We start from the raw sequence: 27,974 nt of genomic DNA on the forward strand, positions 1-27,974 counted from the left end.
CAAAATGTCAAGGGAGCCAAAGTTGAGTAACTCCACTGTGAAGAATAAGACTTTATTTACCCATTCTTAACCTCGAAATCCAAACCTCCATCTCTTGTATATCTGTAATGTTGTTCTTTCCCCCTCGCCCCCAAGTTATTTAAAATCTTGTTTTTGATGTAGCTTAATATAAAGGTGATTATCTTTCATAGCATAGGAATTACATGGTGTATTGTTATTATTATATGTATTAATAACATGTATTATTGTTATTAAGAATTTACATTAGGCCAGGCTCAGTGGCTCACGCCTGTAATCCCAGCACTTTGGGAGGCAGAGGCGGGCAGATCACGAGGTCAGGAGTTCGAGACTAGCCTGGCCAACATGGTGAAACCCCGTCTCTACTAAAGATACAAAAAATTAGCTGGGCATGGTGGCATGTGCCTGTAATCCCAGCTATTTGGGAGGCTGGAGCAGGAGAATCGCTTGAACCCAGGAGGCGGAGGTTGCAGTGAGCCAAGATCAGGCCACTGCACTCCATCCAGCCTGGGCTACAGGGCGAGATTCCATCTCAAAACAAAACAAAAAGTAATAATAATTGACATTAATACTGCTCTAAACATGTTATATATAGATTAGAGTTTTCTGAAGAATAGTTTATATTGCTGGGTGGGTGAAGAAAAATAACATCAAAGCACAAATATTTTATTTCAAACCAATATTTTTAATGAAAATTTCCCTGTTTTCTGATTTTACATATGTTGAATGCCAATAAGAAATACATAAAGAACTCTGAGCATTTATATAGAGCTTTCGGTTTCTGTCTGTTTAATTTGATGCTCTGCTTATTCAGTTATACTAGATGTGTTTCTCAGAGTTATCCAGTCCATACGTATTTGAAGAGACAATTTGGTGTAGAATTGTTAGTGTCCAGGCTCTTCCAAGCAAGGTCTTCCAAAGGGATATCTCAAAAATATTCCTTAGAGTTGAAGTGGCAATGTTATATAGCCTAACAATTTTCATGCTATTAAAAGCTTATAATAGCGGATCATTAAAATGCGAGTTACAGATTTTATGAAACACTACACGTTTTTACAGAGATTTTTAAATCAGGTAATAATTAAAAAAAAAAAAGCATATGCTATAGCCCCAAACCAGCTCTTATGAGTAGCATTTATCAAGTTGGTAATGAACATTTACTGAAGGCTTTATTTTAAGAAATTAGTTTTAAACATAAAGACGGGCTCTAAGACATGATAAGGTAATTTCAATAAGATTATATCAAATCATACTTTAAGATGATTAAAAATATTACAGTACTACCCAAGTTACTAAAGAATAAGAATAGTGTAATGCACTCTTCACATTACTGTCTTTGTTAATTCTGTTTTTCTAACAGCAAATGAAAGAGCACAAATTTTGCTAAGTCAAGCATTCCATTTACAGTACAGTTCTTTTTAAAATATGCTTGATAACAAAGTGTTAAATACCGAATATCTTACTTTTTTGTTATGAAGAAAGGAATGGTCAAGCATGAGATTTATGTAAGATCATTTGTACGCAAAAAGAAACTGCAATAGATGCTTGTTTCTCTCAACCCTTATGTATCAATAGTTTGGCAAAATTCCGTTGAAATTTCTTGTCATAAAATAAGTCAGTGGACTTACCACTTGAGAATAGATATTTGCTTGTATATATAATACTACCATTATTAATAGAGTTCAAGTATTCCAAATGTAGGGATTTTTGAATCTTATATTAAATGGACATTACCAATTACTAATTATTACATTCCAAAGTTCCCAAGCTGAACGCTCATTCTGCTCAAAACACAACGAAATGTTGCAGGTTGCATTTCCCAGTATTTCACCGGGTTGTTGAATAAACTTATTGCACTGTATAAAGATTTCTTCATCTTTGGCACTGTTGGACAGAAGTCATTTACTCCCACTCTTGCAATTGAATTAGAATGAAGGAAGATTATCTGTTGTAGTAGGAAAAAAGAAAGGATTAAAAATACCCAGTAAATGTAAACGGAAGATACTCTGTAGTCGCCATTTGTTTGTGGGTTTATTCATCTGTTTATTTTACATTGGCTTGAATGTATTTTCAGGTAAAGTAGATGTACTCACTTATGCATGTTAAATACCTATTATAAAAACTCAAGCTCATGTGTTGTACACAAAAGTGTTGGGGAAGGACTCCCGCCAGGGCCCAGAGCATACTGCCTGGTCACATGGGTCGCTGTCTCTCTCTCTCTCCAGATAGATAGATAGATACATACATACGTACATACATACATATATACATAAATACATACATGCGTAATGTTTACTTTTATAAACATACATATTTTTAAATATACATATTTATGTGTATATATATGGTTACTTCAGTGCCATATTTACAATAATGCATTTAAAACATTAGAAATGATCAGAAGAATGAAATTTAATGCTCTAAGAATTAGGCTCACAATTTGATTGTGAAGAATTATTAGCTAGCATTTTCTGTGACCAAAGGAGAATTTTTCTAAGTTGTTTTGTAGAAAGATCTATCAACATCCTAAATGCAGAATTGTAATATAGCATCAATAATTGAAATCACTTGATCTTATGTACACCAGTGGACAAGTCACAATTTTACAGGCCGTGTACATGTCTTTTTAAATTAAATTCTTACTCAAAAAGTATGGTAAATAGAGGAACTTTCCCTCATTCCCTTTAACAGCCCTTCTAATTTCTTCTTTGGCCTTTTTTGGTAACAGTGAGATTTCTGGGAAATAAAAGCAATCTACTTAACTGACAGCATTTTTGTGTACTGAAGAGCAGAAGTCTTTTGCTGGCCAACGTGGGATATCCTCCCTGGCTGTTGTTACCTCTAGATTCTGCCTTTATGTCTTAGTAAGACTGATATGAGACCAATCATGAAAATTCTAGGCATTGCTAAAACATTTAAGTTTGGTGTTCAGTCCCCCAGCTGCTCAATATAAGTGCAAGGTATAGTTTACCATAGTACTGATCTCACTGGGAATGAAAACCTGCTGGACATCAGTGTGTTTACTTTGTGGACATTCATTGAAATATATGCTTATGACATGTGTTCTTCTGTTTGTGTTATAATTCTATTCATTTAATTAATGCTAGCAAGAGTATAGGTAGATTTAAGAGAGACCAGAAGCTGGAAGCAGAGTTGTGGAGCAAATTAAGCAGAAATGACATCAGGGATGGGGCAGCTTGAGAGAGGACGGACTCAAGTTGTAGTCACTGGCTAAACAGACATCCAAATGCAGCATTTGGAAAAGTCAAAGCAAAAGTTGTGATCTTGAGATTAGCACCTGCCTATATTACATTCATTTTGATGGTTTGTATCTCAAAGGAGTACAGTGAACGAAACTTGTTTAAAGATACACCGGAAAGAAAAAGAGAAGAGGCAGAGTGGCTTGTTGCCCAGTTTTGTTCTCAAGCTCCTTGGAAGATGAAAACTTTTGTTCTTGGGAAGATCTAAATCTTTATTAGATTCTCCAAGGAATCTGTGGCCCCTTCCAGCCAGTTAAGAGTTGTCAAATAGAAGGAAAAGATTTCTAATAATGAATAAAAACAAACAACAAAATGGGAACTCATGATGCTCCAGATGGTGACTTTAAATTGGTTATATACTGTATTCTGGTTGGAATGTTTAAAAAAAAATATACATGTCTATCCTAGCACCACACTGAAAGCGAAAATACCAGGAGCCTAATCCTCTTGCTCTGCCTTGAGAAATGTTTCCAGATCAAAAGGACACGTGACACTGCTCCATGTCCTCCTGACCAGTCCTGCCTCTGCGTAGCCACCCCTGCCCTAAAATCTGAAATTAACTGTGCCAGCGGCTTTGCCGCAATGTCCTCAGCAGTTTCAACAGGAGAAACCAAAAGATGGAAATGGATCCTGAGCTTTCTTGTGACGTCGATGTAGAAACCATTCTCCTAAAGCTCTCCTACTTCTTAAAACACCTCATGCAACCTGGAGAGTCATTATGTTTGAATCACCCTTGCTGCTTACTTGGTCTTTGCTTGAGGTGTGCTAAAGTGTGTTATAAAAACTGAAGAAAAATACCAATATCTACTGAACACAAGTAGAATGTTTTACCTGGAGGTATTTCAACTCTGGTAATCCTGAAGGGATTTTTTTTAGTTTATTGTTTTCCAAATGTATTTCTCTCACACGTGGTATGTTAGCAAGACTCCCATTTTCGATATCTGTGATTTTGTTGTTTCCTAGGCCCAGCCTAAAAATGATATAAAATGCATCAAGTCTTACACAGATGGTTAGGTGTGATAGAGTTAGCTGAAAACACCGCAAACTAGTTAGAATATAAGCCTGTCCTATTTATATATATGTTCAAAGATATTTCATTACTTTATTTAATAACCTACTTCAGTATGTAACAACTATCTTCCAGTTTTGTCAGAAAATTCTTTGACCTAAATTTAACAAAAGGGAAATTTGAAAAGTCATTTTCTTCTTTTCACTTGATTCGCCCCTATCAGCAGAGGTGGTAATAACGGTGGTTCTTTTTTTTTTTTTTTTTTTTTTAAGATGGAGTCTCGCTCTGTTGCCCATGCCCAGGCTGGAGTGCAGTGGCACAGTCTTGGCTCACTGCAACCTCAGCCTCCCGAGTAGCTGGGATTACAGGCGCCCTCCACCATGCCTGGCTAATTTTCGTATTTTTTAGTAGAGATGGGGTTTTACCATGTTAGCCAGACTGGTCTCGAACTCCTGACCTCGGGATCTGCCCGCCTTGGCCTCCCAAAGTGCTGGGATTACAGGCGTGAGCCACCACACCCGGCCAATTGTGGTTCTTTCTAGTTTTCCCTTCACACTCTCCAGTTCCAACAGCAACTGGCTAAACAGACAGTGATCTCTACCAGGGTCCCTGTGCACATTCTCCAGGAGGTATCATTCTAAGTTAAAATTTTGGGAACGTTTACCTTTGTAGTTCTTTGTATCGTTTAAAATCCTCAAGTTCCACTGTTGAAATTTTATTATAATCTAAGTGAAGCTCCAATAAAGTTGGTGGTAAGCCTAATAAGAAGAGAAATATATATGTTAAGTCAAGTATCACTAAGCCCAATTGACTATTTGTTTACTTTTCAAGTTTCAGATTATGGATTTAGGCAACTTTTTAGGCACTAACTCTTTTTTTTCTTTGAGACAGAGTTTCACTCTTGTTGCCCAGACTGGAGTGCAGTGCCGTGATATCAGCTTACTGCAACCTCCATCTCCTGGGTTCAAGCAGTTCTTCGGCCTCAGCCTCCTGAGTAGCTGAGATAACAGGTATGCACCACCATACCTGGCTAATTTTTTGTACTTTTTAGTAGAGATGGGGTTTCACCATGTTGGCCAGGTTGGTTTCAAACTTCTGACCTCAGGTGATCCACCCCCCTCGGCCTCCTAAAGTGCTGGGATTACAGGCGTGAGCCACCACACCCAGCCTGGTACCTACTTTTTATTAACTTCTTATTATGGTAAAATTGTAACCATTCATAAAATAGTAACTAGTATTATGAACCACCATGCTCAGCTTCAACAGTTATCTCCATTTTTCCTATCTTGTTTTATCTACTCTTAATTATTTATTGATCTGTTTATCTATTTTTATTTTGCCATATTTCTTTTGCTGGAGTATTTAAAGTCAAATCTTATACATAATGTCATTTCTTCTATAAATTCTTCAATTAGATGTCTCTAACTGATAAGGTCATCTTGTTTTTTGTTTTTTGTTTTTTAACATAACCACCCTGTTAATATCACATCTAACAAGATTAATACATTCTTTACTGTCATCTAATATAGTAAAGTTTCCCCACTTGTCTCAAATACGTCATTTTACAGTTGATTTGTTCAAGTTAGGATTAAATGAAGTTTACAGAATACATTTGGTTCTTATCGCTCTTGAAATCTCTCTTAATGTACAACATACTCCCTCCTTTTTTCTCCCTCTTCTTTTGATTTATTTCCATATTAATTTGTTTGAGACACTCCTTTTGTGGATTTGGCTGACAGCTTCCATGTGATATCATTTATCAGGATCCTTTAACTTCTTCCTATGCCCTGGTAGTCAGATGCAGAGAGACATTCAGATAAAAGCAAATCAGCCTTTCACCTGAGGGTCTTAGCATTCATGCACGATTGTTGCCTAGATCCATTCTGTCATTAGGAATTGGAAAATGGTGACTTCCTGATGTCATTCTTGATGGATTTATTAGCTGGAATTCTTCTCTAAAGAATTTTCTTTCATTAATTATTTAGTTACTTTGTAAGATTGTTTTTATAGAAAAGGCAGCAAAACTTGATTCATTCAAGTAATGAATTCATGCAATGCCCAGAGGTGACCAGTTAAGGTTTTTTGTGTTTTTTTTAAAACACCATTATAAACACGGATTTTTACCCTATTTGATATGTTCAGGTCATTGCAGTATTTATTCTTTCTTTTCTTTTCTTTTCTTTTTTGTGGCAGGGTCTCACTCTGTCACCCAGGCTGGAGTGTAGTAGCGCAGTCTTGGCTCACTGCAGCCTCCGCCTCCCAGGTTCAACTGATTCTCTTGCCTCAGCCTCCCAAGTAGCTGGGACTACAGGTGTGCACCACCATGCCCAGCTAATTTTTGCATTTTTGATAGACATGGGGTTTTACCATATTGGCCAGACTGGTCTTGAACTCCTGACCTCAAGCGATCCGCCTACCTTGGCCTCCCAAAATGCTGGGATTACAGGCATGAGCCACTGTGCCTGGCTCTATTCTTTCAATTAGCAGTAGTTTTTGTGTAAGCTAAGTGTATCTGTAGTACCCCCGCACATGGCAGGTGCCCAGTGAATAATCGTTCTTTCTCTTCTCAACGGGGCATATCCTGACCCCCACTCTCCCCAAATGAACTGAAGCTGGAATGAAAGGGACTGACCAGAAGATTCCATCAAACCTCATTTTGTTAGCCCTATATACAAAGTATTATTTGTCAACCCAAGTATCTGGTTAGCTAGCTGGAAAATGCTCTCCTTTTTTCAAGTCTTGATGAAATATTTCCCTTCTATATTAGCAATAAAGACGGATGAAGATAATTGAAACATCTTTATGAATAGCAATAATAGTTTCCATGACTGAATTTATTTTGATAACAGAATCTATTTTGAATTTTAAAATAAATAAACTAGGGAGCAGAAAAATAATTCTTCTAAACTGAGAAGGTTCTAATTTCTTGAATTTTGATTAATTGAGCTTAATTGTATTTATGGAATGATTATGTGGACCCTCCAGTATGTAAGGTAAAGGTTCTGTCCTCAAAGACATTATTTGCTAATTTAGAGCAGATCCATCATACATACAAAAATCACTAGAAAAATAGCTGGTGCAACGTGCCAGCGAATCTAGAATAGGTTGTACAAAGTTGGAAGAGAATAATCTCTGGGAGAGGACTTGTAGAAGTTGAGGGAACTGTTGTGTCCCTTAGGAAATGGGGAAGGTGGGTAACCAGAGAGAAGATTGAAGTGTAGCCTCTAGGATAAAACGAGCAGAGGTGTGAATTTGGCAGAAGCTCAGTAACTGCTGACAAATGTTAGCACACTTTTGTACCGGAATTTCTGTTCCCACCCTGTCTTCAAACAGGTCTCCCCTCTTCCCCACATAATATTATGCAGTAGAACTTCCTGAACGAATAGGAAAGAAGACATTTTCATCCTGTCCACATGATAACTTGTTGGGTCTGGTAAGGACCCTCAGGATACCTGCATCCTTTCATCTTGCCACAGGGGGTAATACTGACTGGATTATGCCATGCAGGCAGTCAGCTTTCACAGGTTAGTGAATTCTGAATGTCAAGGGGATTTGAAGGAATAGTTATTTAAGTTGAGAGATTTGATTCCAATTTAAATTTCTAAAGATTCCTTTTGGCTTTGAAAGAATCTTGAAAACTCATGAGAAGTTAAACCTTTACTTTTAAGATACACTTTGAAATTTAAATAGAATTTTGCAGTGTAGGAAAGACTTTTGGTGTGAACATAAAGAATGGCCATGTCAGGAGATGTGGCCTGGAACAGCAGCTCCCTCCTCCAGCCCTGTAGGCTGTCCTCCTCTCCTCCCTCTACCTTCCTCTTTTCCTTGTCTTCACTCTCCTTTACTGGATGTTATCTTCCAGCAGATGAAAGGGATTTTATATGTTTAACTTATTGGGTAGCATTTGCATTTTTTGTTGTTTTTCTAAAATGGGAAGGTAAATGTAACATTTTTGGTTTCTTGTAGAAAAACATCCACCTCCTTTAAAGCTACACTGAGGTGTTTTTTTGGATTTGTATAGTTCTGAATTAAACTGTTGTTTTCCTGGATAGAAAAGTTATTTTTCCTCTTTTACTTTAGATGATCTTTAGGTGACCTAAGTGAAAGGTCACCTCTTGATTAATAATAACAGCTTTACTGTGTCTTTTAAATTATCTGTATATGTTTGTTTTATTGATCTTCTGGATCAGGTGAGTAGATTAGAGGGGGTCGTGATGAAGTTGCTGCTTTAACTCATGGATACTGAAAGACGGAGCTGTTGGAAAGTAAAAATATGTTGTTAATCATAGGGGTTATTTTTGGCCCAGTTAGTCATCAAAGCAAAGAGAGCATGTGCCCTTGTTGGGAATAAGGAAAGCAAGACTTTGAGCAAGAGTTCCAAGAAAGGCAATCCTATGCAGCTAATCATCAGACAGGGAGCTTGGAAGTAATGGGTTAGAACACTGGTCATCTGGCAGACTTAAGGAGCATTCTACTTGAGGTGCTAGCCTTGGGTCACACAAAGCCATGATAAAGAGCACAGTGCTCATCTTGGTAATGATTATGTCACAGGTGGTCACTTCCTACGTGCTGGATGTTGTCCTCAGACCTTTCTGTGTATTGGCCCATTAGTCTTCACAGTACACCTGGGAAGAAGCTGGGTACAAAATGCCTTGCCTTGAATGGCATGTCCATTCCTGCCAGAGCCAGGGGCTGCCCAGTCTGGGCTCATAGGCTTCACCTCAAACTGTGGCTAAATGCCTGGGGACAGGGTCTCTTGCCCCATCTATCTTTCTCTGCTTTCTTCTGTATAGAATTCTCTACCTCTAACAGGTACTGCACAGAATGACAGGTATAAATGAGTAAATGTCAGGAAAGAGAAGGAAAACTAAAAGTTCATTGCTTCTTAATGTTTATTCTTAGTGGAGTAAAAAAAATTGTGGCTTAATTCTGTCAGGAAAAAGGCACTACATATGGCATTTTATGTGTGTGTAGACTATATTGACCAGATTTACTGGTGCAAAGATTTCTAGTTGCAGTGTATACTGCACAGTTTACAATATTAGATTGAATCGTTATTGAAAGGTGACAACTTTAAAATACCATATCTTAGATAAAGTAAATACAAACCTTTAGGAACTGAGGTCAGTTTTGCTTCTGCAATTCTGATATGGAACACCGTCACCCCTTCAAATGCCCCTGGCTCTATCCCATTATTATCAAGAGGGTTTGCACTCATTTCTGTCAGGGGAGAATGACATGACTTAGCACACATAGGTTGTATATAAAGGAAACTCACAGTGCAGAGAGACACATCCCAAGAATGAATATCCCAAGAAGCGTGAGCTTCATCCTTTAGGCTCATTTTCACTCGGTATATCTGCTTCTGTCTATCTACTGTCCTTTCTGTCAGCATCAGAAAAATACGGCTTTGTATTATGTAAACTGGAATATATGAGAAGTTCACTATTTTTCACTTTGAATTACCATATCAGTGACATTTTCACTCTCCTCCAACCATGAGCACAATTAAGGTTTTGTTATTGTAATAGTGCATCAAAAAAGATCATCCTTCATATAATCCAAAATGTTTATGTTTTTCTGTGTACATTTTTGTGTCTTAAACTTTTTTTAAATTGTAAGTCAATTAGAAATTGTTGTTTTGTTAGCAGAAATATAACCTTGAAGAAATGCCAGTAAGTGAGGCCAGGCACTTGGTTGAATTAAATGAATAAATGAATTAGTATCTTGGTTATGAATTTTGAATGGATATTATAGGGAGATGGCATGGTTATATGATAGGTGTCAGAAATAAAATCAGGTAGAGTTTTAAATATAAGACAAAAAATTCCTCACATCGATAATCTTAAAGCAGATAACCAAATGTTAGGTGCACATTCCAAATAATATCCAAACTAATTTTGTGTATTATATTTGAGTAGCTTATGCAATACATTAAAAATACTACCTTTAAATTAAATAATAAGTTATATTTTATTAGGGTCTGGTCAGAAACAGAAACCACGCTAAGTGTTTCAAAGGAGGTTCTTTTTTTTTTTTTTGAGATGGAGTTTCATTCTGTCACCCAGGCTGGAGTGCAGTGGCGCAATCTCGGCTCACTGCAACCCCTGCCTCCTGGGTTCAAGCAATTCTCCTGCCTAAGCCTCCCGAGTAGCTGAGATTACAGGCACCTGTCACCACACCCGGCTAATTTTTGTATTTTTAGTAGAGACAGGGTTTTACTATGTTGGCCAGGCTAGTCTCAAACTCCTGACCTTAGGAGATCCGCCCGCCTTGGCCTCCCAAAGTGTTGGGATTACAAGCGTGAGCCACCAGGCCTGGCCTCAAAGGAGGTTCTTCAGGGAGAGAGAGACAGTATTACGAAGATCATATTTTCTTTAAGTGCTAAACATTTTGTTGGACATTTTAATTGGTTTATAAATGGCTTATCTAGGCAAAGATTATTCAAAAATTAATTTTGGAAATTATTCTTAATAGTGACGATAAAGTGTTCTACATCTGCTTGTTTGTTATAATTTCAAGATGTCCCATTCATTTGAAAAACTTACCCAAAACGTGTAAAGCATTCATTCCTTTGAATGTGTCCTTTTGTATTTTCTTAACTTTATTTTCATGAATTCTGAGTTCTGCTAATGATTTGGGAAGATTAAGTGGTATTTCACTTAGTTGATTGTGGGACAGATACAGCCTTCGCAACTTCTTTGTGGTTAGAAAGGCTTTTGGGTGAATCTTCGTTAGCTTGTTGTTGTTCAGGATCAGACCCTTGATCAAGCATAGAAAGTTACACAATATTAGGAAGTGGATTTGATTTACCAGTATTCTACAGTGATTAGCCAATGATGGAAATCAGTACAATTTATATCAGTGGTGTACTAGATCACCCATGTAAAAACTTTCCCAGCCCAATCTAAGCTTTTAAAAAAATTTTACTACTGAGTTAGAAAAGTGCAGAGCTATAATAATTAATGTTGTGCCATTGGTTTAGATAGAAGTGCATCTTTTTAATCTTTGAATAGATAATACTTTCATATGGCTAAGCCTTCAACCTCTACTCAGCCTCCTATTTCCCTTCAGGGAAGTGACCAGTGATATTATCTTTATCTTATCTTAAAATCTATTTACTCTACAAAACTATGTTTAGTGCACACCAAATATACTTTTGCATGATTTTGTCTACTTTGAAAACCTCATTTCTTTCATATTTACTAATGTTTACCATTTCTCCCAGAACAGAGGCCTGTAAGGAAAAAAATCCTACCATGTGCCCTCAGCATTCTGGCATATTTTAGATATTGGGGATATAGTAATGGATCCTGAGAAATGACTCAATCTCTTATCAGTTTTTTGGGTATTTCTCAGGGCAATAAGACAGCATCCTCCAGAGGAGGTCTAATAACTCCAGAGAGTAAAAAGAGCTCGTACCAGTGTGAGTGTGCTCTCTGCACAAGTCTTTTGCAACATGTCCAAGGGTGCATGGCTGCTTGGGTGACCAGCCATCTCAGTCTGCCCAGATCATGAGATTATGGGATGTGGGGATTTCAGAACCCAAACTGGGAATGTCCTAGGCAAACTGGGACATGTTGGTAACTCTGATAAGGATTTTCATTGCAAAATGAGCATAGCTCAGTTCTTTACTCTTTGCCAGATTGTTCAAAGAGAATTTCTGTGTTTACCAAGAATGATGACAGGCCACTAAGCGTCTTCAGGACCTTTTTGTCCCTCTTTACCAATCCAGGTCATCTGATTTTCTCAAGGAGCAGCTCTAGATTCATTCATTTTATGATTTTGTTCTCAAATTCATTTCACAAAAATCTCCCTTTGTTTAATATGCCTCACTGGTATTACTCATATTGTTGTTGTTTTTCCATGGCAGAAATACACATTTTGGTTGCTCAGTAAACTTGTATCTGCACGTTTCCTCATCTCACTCTTGGCCCTTTGTGCTTTCCTTTTCTCACCCTCTGGAAATTCCAGATATATCACTATTGCTAAAAGTTTCACCAAGAAAGGGTAAGCCTAGGAGAAGAGGTGAAACTACATTTTGTTACCAACTGGTAAAATATCCTCGTTTGTGAGTGTGTGATGCCAACTAAAAGTATCTTCTCTTTTCCTTTGGTTACACTGAAAAATGAGGTGAGGGGAATTTAACAACTTGGTGGATCATCAAGATGGTTTGTGAATCCTCTCTTGATTCCAAGAGGTAAATTTAGCAGGAATTATTACTCTCCTTTTAGTGATGAGGAAATGCGTAAAGTGAAGAAAGGTGACTTGCCTATGCCATGCAACAAGTGAGGGTTAGAGAGGCCCCACCACAAAGTGAACCTGTGCGTCAGTGAGATCCAAGTCTAGTGCACTGGGCTTTTATTAGTTTGTTTTTCCTAATTAAAACATGCAGTTGTTGGAACTGCATAAAAGGAAGGAAAAGTAATACAAAACTGTGTAAGAGGTTTTGTGCAGCACTGGTAAGAGCCGCGCCACATGGTGGACTGCCTGCCCTGCATGGTGAGCTGGCTGAGTGATCCAGTTAAACTGCACTCTCAGTGCTGGCTTGATTATCACAGAGCTTCCAATTCATCATTAACAAACAGTGTAAGGACAGAAGATGAGAAGAGCATAGCCATTCAGTAGTAGGACAGTGATTCATGCCACATGTGTCTCATAATGGCTGGAAGTGAGCTGGGAGGGCTGTGATTGTGTTCAGTGATTTTGCTCTGACTGTATCATCCTTTGTGTAAGAACCCAAGTGCCAAACAAGCAGCTAAAACTTAACACAGAGAATTTGTAGAATGTCTAAAAAATAGTTTGATTCTCTTAAAAGACAGGTACCATATAAGGTGATACTATAATTATATAAATGTTTTGTAATTGTGTGGTATACCTACAATTCAAGTATAAAGCATGTACTTTAAAAAGTGATTTACATCAGTACACCTGGTCAGTCTGCTAATAGTAGCTTGGCAGTAATACTACTTAACAGCTGGGGGCTTTCCCTCCATTGCTCTACACCTGACATGCATTTCTCAAAGGAAATCAAGTAGGTCTAAGAAAGCTCCTGATACCATTTAGTTTCTCATTTCCCTGTGAATAACAAGAATAAGTATGGACTAAGTCCCTGGAATGCTCCTAAAATGTAATAAAATAATGATATGATGAATTTAAAACTTTCATAGCCCCAGTATTAAATATGCCATTAGTTATTATTCTTGTGGTTATCTAAGCTGAAAAGGGGTTGAAGAAGTGGTAAACGCATCAACAGGCTATATTTCCAACTTCTGTTGGTGGAATAATGGCCTGCCATTCTCCAAAAGATTCTGTGGCCTAAAGTTAGTGGGGTGGACTGGGTGGATCCTCGGTGGAATCCATTGTGTCATTTCTGACTGTCTTAATGTTTTAGTGAGACCTAACTTATAAATATATGCTCTTCTAGTTGCTCTTTTATATTGATAATGGAGGCTTACCAGATCTGAGCTGCCTGCACACTTTGAAAGTGAAAAGAGCAGACAAGGTGCTGGCTACCTGACCGGGCAGTGTGAGAGCTGGATTTTGTAGGGAGGCTTGATGCAAGGATTGAGCATCCCTCAGTCTGCCTTAAGTATGATCAGCATGCATGTCCTCAATCCCAGGGTGACAGGGAGGAAGAGATGGGCCAGCAGGGTCCACTGCACTGACCCAGGGTGACAGGGAGGCATGGTGACCCCACATCTCTCAGACACAGGAACAGGCCAGGCCTGCATGGTAGCAAGGGGCTAATATTGTTATGGTATTTTCTACCCTGTTCTCTTAGTTTTATCTTATCTAGAGATGACAGACTTTAAATTTGTTTTCTCCAGCACAGCCTGAGAGTGTGGGGAAATGGCCTGGAATAGCCAGGCCTGGCTTACCACCTCAGATGATACAGAACCAGAGCTCTTCCTCTAACACCATGCCAGAGTCAGCGAGGCAGGAGCTGTGCTGAGGGGAGGCGGTGGCGGGGGAAATGAGGTGCTCCTCCAAACCCAATTTCAGACTAAATCAGAAATTTTACTTGCTAAAATCTGGAGACTTCGAAATGATTTTTTTGGTTTGTTTTTGTTTTTAAGACAGGGTCTTACTGTGTCACCCAGGCTAGAGTGCAGTGGCATAGTCACAGCTCACTGCAACCTCTACCTCTTGGCTAAGACTACGTGCACCACCACCATGCCAACTAATTTTGTATTTTTTATAGAGGTGGAGTCTTGTTGTGTTGCCCAGGCTGATCTCGAACTCTTGGGCTCAAGTGATCCGCCCGCCTTGGCCTCCCAAAGTGCTGGGATTATAGGCATGAGCCACCACACCCAGCCCAAAATGTTAAACATGGAAGTAGTAATCTTTTAAATCCTAGAATATTAAAATGATACTAATACAGTAAAGAAAAAATTCTTTTCTTCTTTAAAGATCCAATAAATAAGCCATACATGTATATATTAATCAATCAGATATATTCTGTGTGCTGCTGTTAGAGATTTGTGGTGTCTTAACACGTTTGGGTAGAGATTTCTTACACTGTTTGCTAATGATTGCTGTAAGTAATTGTTTTCTTGTTCATTTTAATGTATAGTGACTGTTACTACCTGAATAGATTGTAAGCTTATTTGAGGACCATTAAACTCAGCCCACTACATTTTACATGGCTATTATTTAATAAACATCCATTGAATTAGACTATTAATTGAATGAAATCTATAATTTTTAATTGACTAGAACGCTGTTGAATGCAGGGATTTTTGTCATTCTTTACAGAAAAGTAAGACTTGTTTATACTAACATAGTATAATTAATCATTATAGCAAAGATACAGAGTTTTCACTTAAATCTTTGAAAGTATGAGGATATATTCTTACATAAAGTGAAGTGAGTCCTTTAAAATCATTTTCTTTGATTTCCTTAATTTTATTGTTTTGAAGATCAAGCATTCGAGTATCAAATGGAATGTTGGTTGGGACTGAGGTCAAACCTTAGAAAGAAACAAACATATTATATAATAGAGAATCATGCTGAAGATGAGATTACTAATATGGTAGAAATATACATTTTTTAAAACCCATGATTATCATCAAGTTACAGATGACTTAACAGTCATAACAGATGACAAAAAAAACATTGTTTTGGGGGAAGACCTCAGGACCTTTTTGAGTAACTTATTAATTTTTACAAGGTGTCTAGATTGGTATAGTTGTCACTACTCATCCCCTCTAAGGTGGAATAAAAGGAGATAAATTGGAGTGGCCTTAGTGGCTGTGAGAAGGTGACCAACCACTGAGGTGCAGCTTCTGTTGATGTACCTTTGGCTGAGGAATGTTAGCTTTCTTTGCAAATTTTCAGGCTGTTATAGTGCTAAATTGGAGCATATGGGTCTTGATAATTTTTCTTTCTTTTTTTTTTTTTTTGAGATGGAGTCTCGCTCTGTTGCCCAGGCTGGAGTGCAGTGGCATGATCTTGGCTCACTGCAACCTCGGCCTCCCGGGTTCCAGCAGTTCTCCTGCCTCAGCCTCCTGAGTAGCTGGGATTACAGGTGTGTGCCACCACGCCTGGCTAATTTTTGTATTTTTAGTAGAGACGAGGTTTCCCCATGTTGGTCAGGCTGGTCTCAGACTCCTGACCTCGTGATTCGCCTGACTGGGCCTCCCAAAGTGCTGGTATTACAGTCGTGAGCCACCGCACCCAGCCGGGTCTTGATCATTTTAAGAAGCCTTAGATAGTTGTGTTTAGAAAATGGAAAAATTAGATTTTTTTCATGTATATTACCAAAAACTTTACCACCCATTTCCTTTAAGTAATTAACTTCTCTAATTAGTTGTAAATTCTTTGATTTCCACATACTGATTCATATATTATTCTTTTTTTTTTTTTTTTTAACTTGAGACAGTCTTGCTCTGTCGCCCCGGCTGGAGTGCAGTGGCGCCATCTCGGCTCACTGCAACCTCCACCTCCTGGGTTCTAGTGATTCTTCTGCCTTAGCCTCCCGAGTAGCTAGGATGTGTACCACCATGCCTGGCTAATTGTTGTATTTTTACTAGACACAGCGTTTCGCCATGTTGGCCAGGCTAGTCTCGAACTCCTGGACTCAAGCGAGATGCCTGCCTTGGCCTAGATGTCAGTACACTTTTGATAGAACCGTCCTCACTCCTGAAGTGTAGTCATACATTTAATAGCCAAAAATTGAAGAATTGAAAATCTAGTATTTGAATATCAACATTCTATCCTACAGCTCTATGTACTTTTCCTTTCTATACTTTAAAATTGGTCAGGCATGGTGCCTTACGCCTGTAATCCCAGCACTTTGGGAGGCCGAGGTGGGTGGGTCACTTAAGGTCAGGAGTTGTAAGACCAGCCTGGCCAACATGGTGAAAGAAACCCCGTCTCTACTAAGAATACAAAAATTAGCTGGGCATTGTTACACGTGCCTGTAGTCCCAGCTACTCGGGAGGCTGAGTCAGGAGAATCGCTTGAACCCAGGAGGCAGAGGTTGCAGTGAGCCAAGATAGTGCCACTGCACTCCAGCCTGGGTGACAGAGTGAGACTCTGTCTCAAAAATAAAAATAAAAAAATAGGCTGGGCGCGGTGGCTCACGCCTATAATCCCAGCACTTTCGGAGGCCGAGTCGGGTGGATCATGAGGTCAGGAGATCAAGACCATCCTGGCCAACATGGTAAAACCTCGTCTCTACTAAAAATATAAAAATTAGCCAGGCATGGTGGTGTGCGCCTTTAATCCCAGCTACTCAGGAGGCTGAAGCAGGAAAATCGCTTGAACCCAGGAGACGGAAGTTGCAGTGAGCCGAGATCGCGCCATTGTACTCCAGCCTGGGTGACAGAGCAAGACTCTGTCTCAAAAAAATAATAATAATACTAAAATAAAATTGATACTTTCTTAAGAAATTTAACCCTATATGGGAAGAAGAAGGGGGGTAACTTGATGAATTAGCAAGGTAGGGTGCAGTTTTGTTTGTTAGAATAGATTAATTTTGCCATTTTTATGAACACAGGATATTATTTTGGTTTTAGAAAATGAAGTGGAAGTCTTATAGGAAGCTGGAGGTTCTGCAGAAGGGATCCTCCTGGTAGCACAGATTTTGACAAACCTACTCCTGCCCTGCCCCTGTTAAAACTGAAGTTCTGAAGAGTTTCATCTCCTGAGGGAGGAAGAGTGATAAGTGCCCAGACCCTTTTTATGGTCACGTTTTGGGGGAGGTAGGATGGGTGCAGCAGCATGCTGATGGCATGTCTGACTGTCACAGATATTCTTAGGTGGATTTTGTTTACTAGAGTTTTTTCAAAGCTAAATGTTTGGGAGACTGTGTGTGATGGGAACACCAGCTTCCTGCCATGAGGTAGCTTGGGCTTCTCAAGTCTTTGGTGACAAGTGTGTTCTGGAGTAGTTTTATGCAATGTCTCATGCAGGGTCTTCATGTTGGAAGCATATGACTGCTCTGCCGTGGCACATATGGAGGCCAGCACGTGGGGGTGGTCTGCACTAAAGATAAATGTGTCCTTATTCACCATCTTACCCAGAACTAACCCAGTTTACATCTGGTGGAGTCATAGCAGATACACATATTTTTATCTGGAATTTTGACTTACAAAGTGCTTTAACATGCACCCACTTTGCAAACTGATGGTAGGTAACGTTTTTTCTTGTCTGAGATGCAGTTTAGTACAATAGTACATTCTCATATTCCCTAACTAACCTCTTCTCACACCCAGCATCTGTCTCAGCTTCTGCATTTCTTGTTCCTGATGCTGTTTCCACAGTCGTTCTACATGAACAAGTTTTCTCAAACAGTACTTGCATCTTAATCTCTTTCTCATGAGAATTCCACAGGTAAAGCTTAAGACCCATTTTTTTTCCTAGCCTATTTCATTAGACTTTACTAGTAAGTCTAGCTCGTATTAGTCTCCCCTTTTTCTGAATGCTTTTTGTTTGCCTCTCATTTTGTCATATAATGACAAACTTCATTAAGGTCTCTAGAGTAGATTATTGTAAGCTTTAACTCTTGCCATGAATGCTATGGCAGTAGGAAGCACGTCTAATGCTTTTCAAGACATCTGCTCATACAGACTCATGAAGTGACCCTGATGGGCCATCAGCCCCTGAGTGGGAGTTGTGTGCCAGACCTTGGCCTCCACAGTGGGGCCAGTCTCAGCTGTCCCCTCTTGGAAATAGCTGAAGGCAACAACTCTTGATATGCATTCCCATTAAGTCCCGTCCTTGAACGGGACATGGCTGTGCTCTTGAGTGCTCCTTCATTAGAAGTATTAAAGAAATAAAATACTCAGCAAAGAATTATAAATTTTAAAAAGACTTTATCCACTTTTTTCTTAGGCAGTTTTAAACCCAAATTGCTAAAAAGCAAATAAAGCATTATCTTTAAAAGGTCTAGATTAGAGATTTCACAAGCTTTCTATAACTCATTTCATTGTTCTAGACATGCAGCTTATTTTGTTATCATGGAGTTTTACTGAAAAGTACAGTCTCAACCTGCTAGCACCCTGAGATAGAACTGCATGTGATGTCCATTCTCTCTGAAGGGAATTAAAATTAAATGCTTTGATTTAACTGGGGAAGAGAAGGAAATGTTCTATGGACAACATTCCCTTAGTTTTCCTTTGATTTTCTTAATTTTAAAAATAAGTTTGGATGTACTTTGGGGTTTGCTGTACTTTCCACCTAAAAACTTAAATGAAAAAAACTTATACACTCAGATTATTTTTGAAATTTCAATGAGACTTTTTCCATCCTTTAAATTGTCAGAATAGCATTACTATTCTTCAAAACAAAATCGACTTATATTCTTACCTAAATCTGAGCAATGTACAACTCGTGAATAGCACTGACATCCAAATGGACACATTGGAAACAGATCAAATGGAAAAAAATGGCTTCTTGGCTCTCTTGTTGGAAAAAGAGAGTTGTCCTCATCATCATCATCATCATCATCATCATCATCATCATCATCATCTGTGTCTTCCATATCCTTCAGCATCATATTCTTCAGTGCGATGTGTGAAGGGCTAAAGAAGGGTTTGGCAGAGCACAAAGCCAGGAATAATAGGAGCACATACTCCTTCATGGTGTCTTAGTGTAGAAGACCAGTCTAGGACTAAACAGACATGGGATATTAAATTTAAATGGATATAATTCCTGCATATATACATTTCTCAGTTCTGGCAAGAGTGCAATGAAATGGCATTTTAATCCATTGCTTAGCTAATCTGAGAGTAAATTTATAAAGATTTTTGGAAAGCAATTCAGCAATGTGCATTGGGAACTCTAAAAATATCTCTTTTTCAGATAGTAATTCTACTTTTTAAAATCTAGTCTCAGGAAACATTTCTAAAGTGCACAAAGATGTTCATCACAGAATTATAATAGCAGAAATATTTGAGACAATTATATAATGGTTAAAGGGGAATAGTAAAATAAAAGAGTATATTTATTCCATGAAATATTTTGGAACCCACAAAATGCTTGCAAAGACACTTTTAAATATGGGATATTATCTTTTGTGAAATAAAAAAAAGCAAATATAAAAAATCCATAAACTGTATACTTACAAACACTCATAAACAAACAAAAACAAACCTGGCAGGAATATACCTGATTGATGATAAACTCTGGGCACTAGAACCATAGATGACTTGTGTTTTCCTTTTTCCTTTAACTTTCATAATGAGCAATGAGTATTACCTTTATAATGAAAAAGCTAATAAACATCGTAAAAACAGAAACAGATTATCTTACCTAACTCTGTATTCCCAAAATCTTTCTATTGCCTTAATGTATTCAGTGTCCCTGAAGGAGGAATATCTTCATTGTCTCCTTAGACAACATCTGGAATTTTTCCTTAACTGATTTCTCTCCACCTTTCCCAACCTCACTCTCATAGTTGGTCACTTTTTCCACAATTGGTATCTTTTTCCTTCTAATCTGTTCCATTGTCTAATATTTGATCCAAACTGTCTGATGTCCAGACTATTCTTTCTTACTCATCTTTCCACTGAGTTCGGTTTGCTTGTTTTGTTTTTGGGGGGCCAGGTTGTTTTCAGTTGCATTTTTAAAATGCACACAAAACAGAACTATACAAATGAGAACCTTCAGAGCATAGATTTATTGCCATATTTACATATCCTAATTTTTAAATTATTACCTGTGAAATGTGTATATTCTTTGAAAATTTCAAAAATTAAAAACATTATGAAATTATTCAAAATAGATGCATCCTAGAGATGCTCACTGGTGAAACTGAGTCCTGGCAGGAGGGCATCCACTCACCACCACAGCAGAGGGCTCCGCAGACCCTAATAGTCCACCAGGCTACAGTCACCTAAATAGTCCTCCAGGCCTGCCATTGCCCGAGTGCCAGAGAGCAGCTGAGCTGCAAAAGACTTCTATAGTCAGCCAGGATTGGCCCAGCCTCGGGAAGACCTACCCCTCCAAATCCCAACTGGTTGCAATTTCCCAGAACCAAAAAATCAGCTTTAACATCTCTCCATGGGCCTGCTTTTTCCTGGATTTAAAAATCAAGAATGAATTCATTAACTTAATAAATATCTTCATTTATATATGGTATGTCTTTTTTAATCACCAGACGAGGGCTAGAATGTCCTACTGTCATTAGTTATTAACCTGATAATTACTTTATTTAATTTCTCATATGCTCCAAAAATCTAAATGGTGGCATGAACATTTGCCCACTGGGTAGCTGGATGGCACTGGTCAGGTATGTGTGATATTCCTGTGATAATCCACACTAACTTATGCTAGGAAGGAGGTTACAGGACAGATCTGAGAATGGCAAGAGTTTTTTATATTTTAATAATCCTATGCTGATTCCAATTTCAAAACTAGCCCTAGCCTCCCATCTGTACACTACTTTGTGGAGGTGTTAATTCAGATGTTATTCTAGACTCATCCCTCATAGGAAATGAGGCGTAAAGAGCTTAAGTGACTTGCCCAAAGTCACCTACCAAATATAAATGGAGCCAGAGCTAGGGCTCATGTGTCCCAACTCCCTGTTCTGTGCTGCCTTCTGCTCCAGCTCATGTGGGGGGACTCAGTTGTTTTATCCAGAAATCTCGTGGCTTCATGGGCATACTCTGTCATTTTTTCTTATCTAACCAGTATACAAATTACTGTTCTGTACACATCTGTACATAAAGAAGCACCTGTGTAGCTTGGATTGGAAGGTAGAGAACAGAATGATTGTGTGATCAGATTTGTGTAGTACTGGGTGAGAGATTGTGCTGGCAACACAGGGTTCAGTGGCTTCTTTTGGAGAGCCCCAGGTGGAAATCACCAACTGTGGCTGACTACTGTTCTGTAGCAGGCATGGGGTGTCCCTGCTGGCAGGCAGGTTGATGTTTCGTATTCCAGTCATCCTGTGAATGCTGTATGGGGTCCTGGTAAAGGTTACTGGGGGCTTCCTTCTCAATATCACTTTGTCCCTGGCACATTGTCTCTGTGCCTTTGCTGTCTGTCTAACTTTGACTCATTATGTGTTTTGACTTAGGGCTGTTGTGTGGCTCCTGACTCCTTAAGGTTTAGTGCCCAGCTTTGCCTCAACCTTCAAAATACTCATTCCCTAGAAAATTCAGCTCTTGGTCCTTAGCTAAATCAAAGTTGGCCCCTGATTCCAGTTTATTCTGTAACATTCTTGCATTACAGCTCTGTCTTCTAGGTGCATAGCTGCCCTTGACCTTGTCTGACCTTGGCAACAAGGAGCTATAGAATTATAATGTCATTTAAGGTCCTGTTTCTGGCTTTCTTTGAGGTTGCTGGAGTTATTCAGTGGGCATTTACCAAGCACCCACTGTACCCCATGCAGTGTCACTCGTCAGAATGCTGAATTTCTTAAAGTAGAGCACACCTTCCTCCCCATCCTCTTCTCTCCCACACTTCCCTACTCAAAAATAAAAAACCCGCAACTCCTAATCAACTACTGTCAGGTAATACGAGATCGTAAAGTTAACACTTGAATGTCAGGTACATTAATAGAAAAACTAAAAAATAAAATGCCTGGATTAGTAAATAGACAATGTAAACTGTATATACTGTGACTTATGGGGTAGGAACAGGGGTGTAGGGCTTTAACACTAGATGTGTGGTACCCAGAGCTTTGAAAGTAAAATTCTTCACCGTGTCTGTCTACGCATAACCCTCAGTTTACTGTTTGAGACCAATAGAACTAAAGACATTTATAAAAACATATATTCACATGAAAAAAAGATTGAAATAGAATGTACAAACCTGGTAAGAGGGATAATGGGATTATAAGCAAAGCATTTTTTTTTTCTTCCCATGCATAGTTTCTTAATTATGTTGCTTTTAAAATATTTTAAATGTCAGTCCGCCAACAGAATTTTCTTTGCTTTATTTCTGCATATACTGCTGTCTTTTCCTACCACTTTTGGTAGGAATTGGTGTAATCAAAGGTTTCTCATACACACTATTCTCATCTATTTCTACCCAAAAGTCAAACAATAGCACCTACTTGGGAAATTGTTTTGGGGTTCACAATTTCTTGAGGCTTAATCCTATTTGTTCTGGTCAATGGGAAATGAAGATTTTGACAAGGTTATTTTTTAAGTTGGTTGATTGTGCTTTTTTGTTTGTTTTTTTGGGGTTTTTTGTTTGTTTGTTTGTTCGAGATGGAGTCTCACTTTGTCGCCCAGGCTGGAGTACAGTTGCGCCATCTTGGCTCACTGCAACCTCCACGTCCCAGGTTCAAGTGATCCTCCCACCTCAGCCTTCAAGTAGCTGGGATTACAGGCATGTGCCATCATGCCTGGCTAATTTTTTATATTTTTGTAGAGATGGGGTTTCACCATGTTGGCCAGGCAGGTCTTGAACTCCTGACCTTAAGCGATCCACCCATCTCGGCCTCCCAAAGTGTGCCACTGTGTGAGCCACTGCACCCAGCCTGAATGTTTTAGTTTAAGTTTTTTCCCATAGAATCTTTGAACCAAATGGGCTTTAGATTCCCAGTCTGGACCGGAAAAACCTATTTAACAGATAATATATCCAAAATGTAGAAACAAAAAAACTATGGAACTTAAAAAAAAAAAGTAAAACACCAGGAATGTGTTAGAGATCCAAAGTGGGGTGCCAAGAACACATCGTGGTGTTCCTTGTGGCCTGGCAGCGGGAGCAAGGACTGGCCTCAGCTCCTTTGCACACCACGTAATGGTTTCCCAGATGCCTTCAGCCTCGTGCCACCGTCAAGAGAGGCTTCCCCAGTACTGAGCTGAGGTTCGAGATGAGGAACTGGATCAGGTATGAGGAGCAGAACTGAGAGTTGAGAGGAGAAGGAGAAGGCACACAGGGCAGGGAAGGCAGGGAGCAGAACAGTAGTGGTCCTGCTTTTTTCCACATCCCTGCCTCAGGGCTGCTGACCAGTCCCCCAGTGGCATCAGGAGAAGCATCAGCCGGGGCCCCTTCCTTTGTCTCTCCTCTTTCTGAGACTGATAAGTTACAGGAGACCCTCCCTGCCTTTAATCAAAACTGCGGTAAAATTAAAATATGAAATGGAGACTTCTGCCTGCAAGTTTTAGGCAGTAGCATTATCTTTAGCTGTTGGGAAGCATTCCAGTTGCTGAGCAGTGGAGGCAGCCACTTTTATATAGTAGTTAGGCCCTTTCCTGGAGAATAAGAGATGAAGACCTTTGAAACAGGAGTTCCTCCTGGTGGTGAAGGTTCCAGAACATTCTGGAACAGGGAGCATATCCACCCTGCTTGAATAGCTCCAGGGAGAGGATACTACCTCAAGGCAGCATCTTCCACAGTTGTCCATCCATGGCTGTTAGGAAAGTCTTTATATGGAAACTCAAAAATGCCTTCTGGAAAATTCATTTCTCTCTGCTAGTTCTGTCTTCTGTTAGCCTTTTACAATTAATCTAATCTTTTGCATTTGTGTATCCTGGTTGCTTGCAAAGAAAAAAGTCAGGCCAACCTTGATACCATGAGGAATTCATTATTTACACTCTTTACCTGAGTCTCTTGCTGGGTCTCTTCCACTGCTTTGTTAATAAGTACAATCAAGTATAGGTCCTAAACCTCCCCCAGTTCAGTGTGCAACTGTTTACCAATAGGAAAATAATGGAATGTCTAGGAGAGAACCCTAGATAGCAGTATTTTTTTCTTATTATTCAGAAAGAATGTAGAGAATATTATATGTCATTTAAAATGATATGACTTTTGGCTGTTTTATTTTGAGTTTATTAATGAGGTACAACCTCTGTTTTATTAGTTTTGGCAGTATTCAGGTTACTCTATTTTTAAACCCTTTAAAAATATTAAATCTTCTTCTCAGGAATACTCAATATTTCCCTGATTTAGACCAGTTTTGCCAGTGTTTTCCACTCATGGAAAGCTTTGGATTTTGGTTTCAAGTCTCTCTTAATCAGAGTAGTGTTTGGAGTATTCTTCCAGTGCTACTGCTATTACTAATAAATCATAGTAGCCTAGAGCTAAGAGAGGTCTTTGAGACTTTCCCCCCATGGCCCTCTTTTACTGAGAAAAAGCAGAGGCAGTGAGCGTCCAGAACTGGCTGGAGGTGGTGGAGCTGAGGGCTGGCTTCCTCACTGCTTGTTGGTTGTGCTTTGCACTAGACTGCATGTCCTCCTAAATGGATTTTAATCTCATAGTTACTTCCAGACAGTAAACAGACTTTCCTCTGGAAAAGCCTAGGTAAGGAGGTTTGGCCAAGTTCTTAAAAGAGTTCATAACATATGGACTGGAAATAAAGCTTAAGAAGCACATAAGCTTTCTTGTTTCCATTTAACTGGTCTACAAACTTAGAAAGTTTATCTAAGTGAAATGGTATTTCCTCTCAGACACTATTATTAGGTAAATAAGTCACTGTGCTTTTAAATCCCATGTTTAAAGGCCCGCTTGGCAACTTTTCCCCTGGGTTTAAACATGCCTATCAGTTCACAGGTACCAGTAGCAGATTTCAGCATATAAATGTGATATAACATACTCCATATATTTCACCGAAGGAATCCAAACCAAATTCAGATGTAATCAAGGCATAGTCTTGTAAGCTAACAAATGAGTTAAAAGTCCAACATGCATTTGGAAACTTATTCACAGTACCATTTGTTCATGGATACTGATAAAGATAGCACTTTCCTTAAAAAGTAGTTAATTTTACCTTAGAAGTATAACTAGCATTCTGACAAAGCATTCTAGCTGTTCTTCCTTTTATACTAATTTTGCCCTTCATTAATTTCTCCACATGTCTAGCAATCAAGCTACTGTCTTAAAAAACAAAATCTACTGCCTCTCCATTTTTATGATGTTTCCCACAGTGCCTCAAGACTTGTGCTTGTAAAGTTAATTGTTTTTGTCTCAAACCTCAGATCAGTTATCAGAATATTTGTTTTTAATTGAGTAGTTAGTTGTAACAGAAGACTATATATCCTCTGTTCTTTCCACTACTACACTATACTCCTTAATGCCAAAAAACAAACTAAAAACATCAGGATCCTTTTATGTGTGTGGGCTTGTGCTCGATTTTTCTTTCTTTTTTCATTTCTTTCTTTTAACAGCTTGATTCTTGGATTTAAACAACTTTATTTTTAGGGAAATACAACCCCCTCAGGTTCTTTATGACTCAGTCCCTACACCATGTGGCCACTGTTTCCTGGGTGCCACACCTCTGAATAGATTAACATGAAAGAATGCTGTGCGCTATTTAGATTACTAGGGAGTAGAATATTGAATACATTGCTTAAATTTTTTAATCTAAAATTTAATCAGAAATTTACTTTGGGAGTAGACAAAGGAAATCTTTGAAAGTGTTAAATTCTGACTGTATACATGCTGTGAAAATTTCCTAATCTTTCATATTGAATATAGTGCTAGCTAAACTATTGCTGATAAGTATTCTTTCTTGGAATTGAATAGATTTCCATTTGAACTTTTCAGTGCCATTTCATTATAATAAGGAAGACATTTATCAAGGAAAAAAATGAATATTCAAATGTATAAGTAAAATTGACATTTCAGTAATTCACACATTTTAAATACACATTAGAAAATATTTTAAATATTGAAAAATATATTTACTGTTTCATTTAATATAGCTGTGATATCCCCAAACTTCATGATCATTATTATAGCAATGTTATTTTCCTAGATAAACATACAAGATGTTTATTTAGATGACTTTTAAAATCAATCATGTTAACATTTATGGTAAGGCATAATGACAGGTTTTCACTTAGCTGAAAAAAAAAGTCACATAATTATATTTAAAATACATTCATTATAGGTAAGACATAAAACTAGAATAATTTTAGGTACAAATTTAGGTTTGTATTTAAATGCTGATTTTTAAGAAATTATAGAGATAAACTTTGGACTTTATCCTATTATTTATAAGCATTTATTAATAACATTAATGTCTCCTTAGTATTGACTGTAAAGTATACATCGATACTTGTAAGATAGACATGAAACATACCTGTCAGAAGAGAGTAGTCCTCCTAAAAGTAGAAGTTATCCACCATGTACTACTTATCTATAATGTAAATGTTCTCAGACACTGTGTAAGAAGAAAAGATGAGGAGGTATTACATTTAAAAGAAAAAAAACACCCTTCAACACAGTCCTGGTGTGGCTGCACCCTGGGTGATACTGGAATAAACTGCTCCCACAGATTAGTCCATGTTAGTACTGAGGAGCAAGATTAAAACTTGTTACTGCTCATGTGTTTTCCATCACTGTTTGTATCGTAGCCAAGACTTCTAGCTAAACTCTAGACGTCTACTGGAAGATTCTGAAGAAGAAAAAAAAAGAAAGTTTAATAATGCATGGCAACTGGCCATTGAAAGTGCAGTCGGAGTCATTCAAGAAATACCTAGTTTTAAAAATATTAGATTCTTAAGTGAATGAATATTTGTAAATTACAATTTCAAAAATTACTCAACCTGTATAGACTAATAAAATATTTATCAATCTGAATAAAGGATACCAACATTACTGAAGTATATACCCAAACTTCAGATGTACCTGAGAAAGAACCATACTTTTTTTTTCTTCTAATGACTGTAGCTATTGCATTATGCATACTTCTCCAGACTTTTTTTTTTTTTTAAGCTTTTAGCACTGCTATAGCATGTCAGGGAAACTATGGATGAGGCTCCATGAACTGCTCCCTGGACTCAACATATGTGATATAACACAGACACACATGCATGTCCAAGTAACACCCTCTTAGGATGCATACAACTTTCCCTTTTCAAGAGAATATTAGCTATGGCCTCACTGACATTTAGGGAGACTTAGAGCAGGGAAGATGCTATTTCCTGAAAATAAATCATTATTTGTACCCCCTTTCCACTCATCCCCAAGAGACTGCCCAATTCTACATCAACTAAGACCTTCAAGAGAGGACAGTTTTCTTTTTTTTTTTTTTGAGACGGAGTCTCACTCTGTCACCCAGGCTGGAGTGCGGTGGCGCAATCTTGGCTTACTGCAAGCTCTGCCTCCCAGGTTCACGCCATTCTCCTGCCTCAGCCTCCCGAGTAGCTGGGACTGCAGGCGCCCGCCACCACGCCTGGCTAATTTTTTGGTTTTTTAATAGAGACAGTGTTTCATTGTGTTAGCCAGGATGGTCTCGATCTCCTGACCTCGTGATCTGCCCGCCTCGGCCTCCCAAAGTGCTG

The 27,974-nt window shown here is 38.5% G+C and overlaps 2 protein-coding genes across 6 annotated transcripts in view; one reads left to right on the forward strand and one right to left on the reverse strand.

Annotated features, from left to right (window-relative positions):
* Positions 1-27,974, forward strand: part of CENPP (centromere protein P) — a 295,062-nt gene that overhangs the window by 130,055 nt on the left and 137,033 nt on the right. The window lies entirely within an intron of this gene.
* Positions 683-26,984, reverse strand: ASPN (asporin). 2 transcript variants are annotated; one of them, NM_017680.6, is given in 8 exon segments: positions 683-1,963; positions 4,110-4,248; positions 4,952-5,045; positions 9,397-9,507; positions 10,836-11,049; positions 15,147-15,259; positions 19,102-19,405; positions 26,771-26,984. In NM_017680.6, coding segments are annotated over 7 exon segments (1,143 nt in total). In that variant the 5' UTR covers positions 19,376-19,405; positions 26,771-26,984; the 3' UTR covers positions 683-1,765.

This window comes from Homo sapiens, chromosome 9, assembly GCF_000001405.40.
Source record: "Homo sapiens chromosome 9, GRCh38.p14 Primary Assembly".
NCBI lineage: Eukaryota > Metazoa > Chordata > Mammalia > Primates > Hominidae > Homo > Homo sapiens.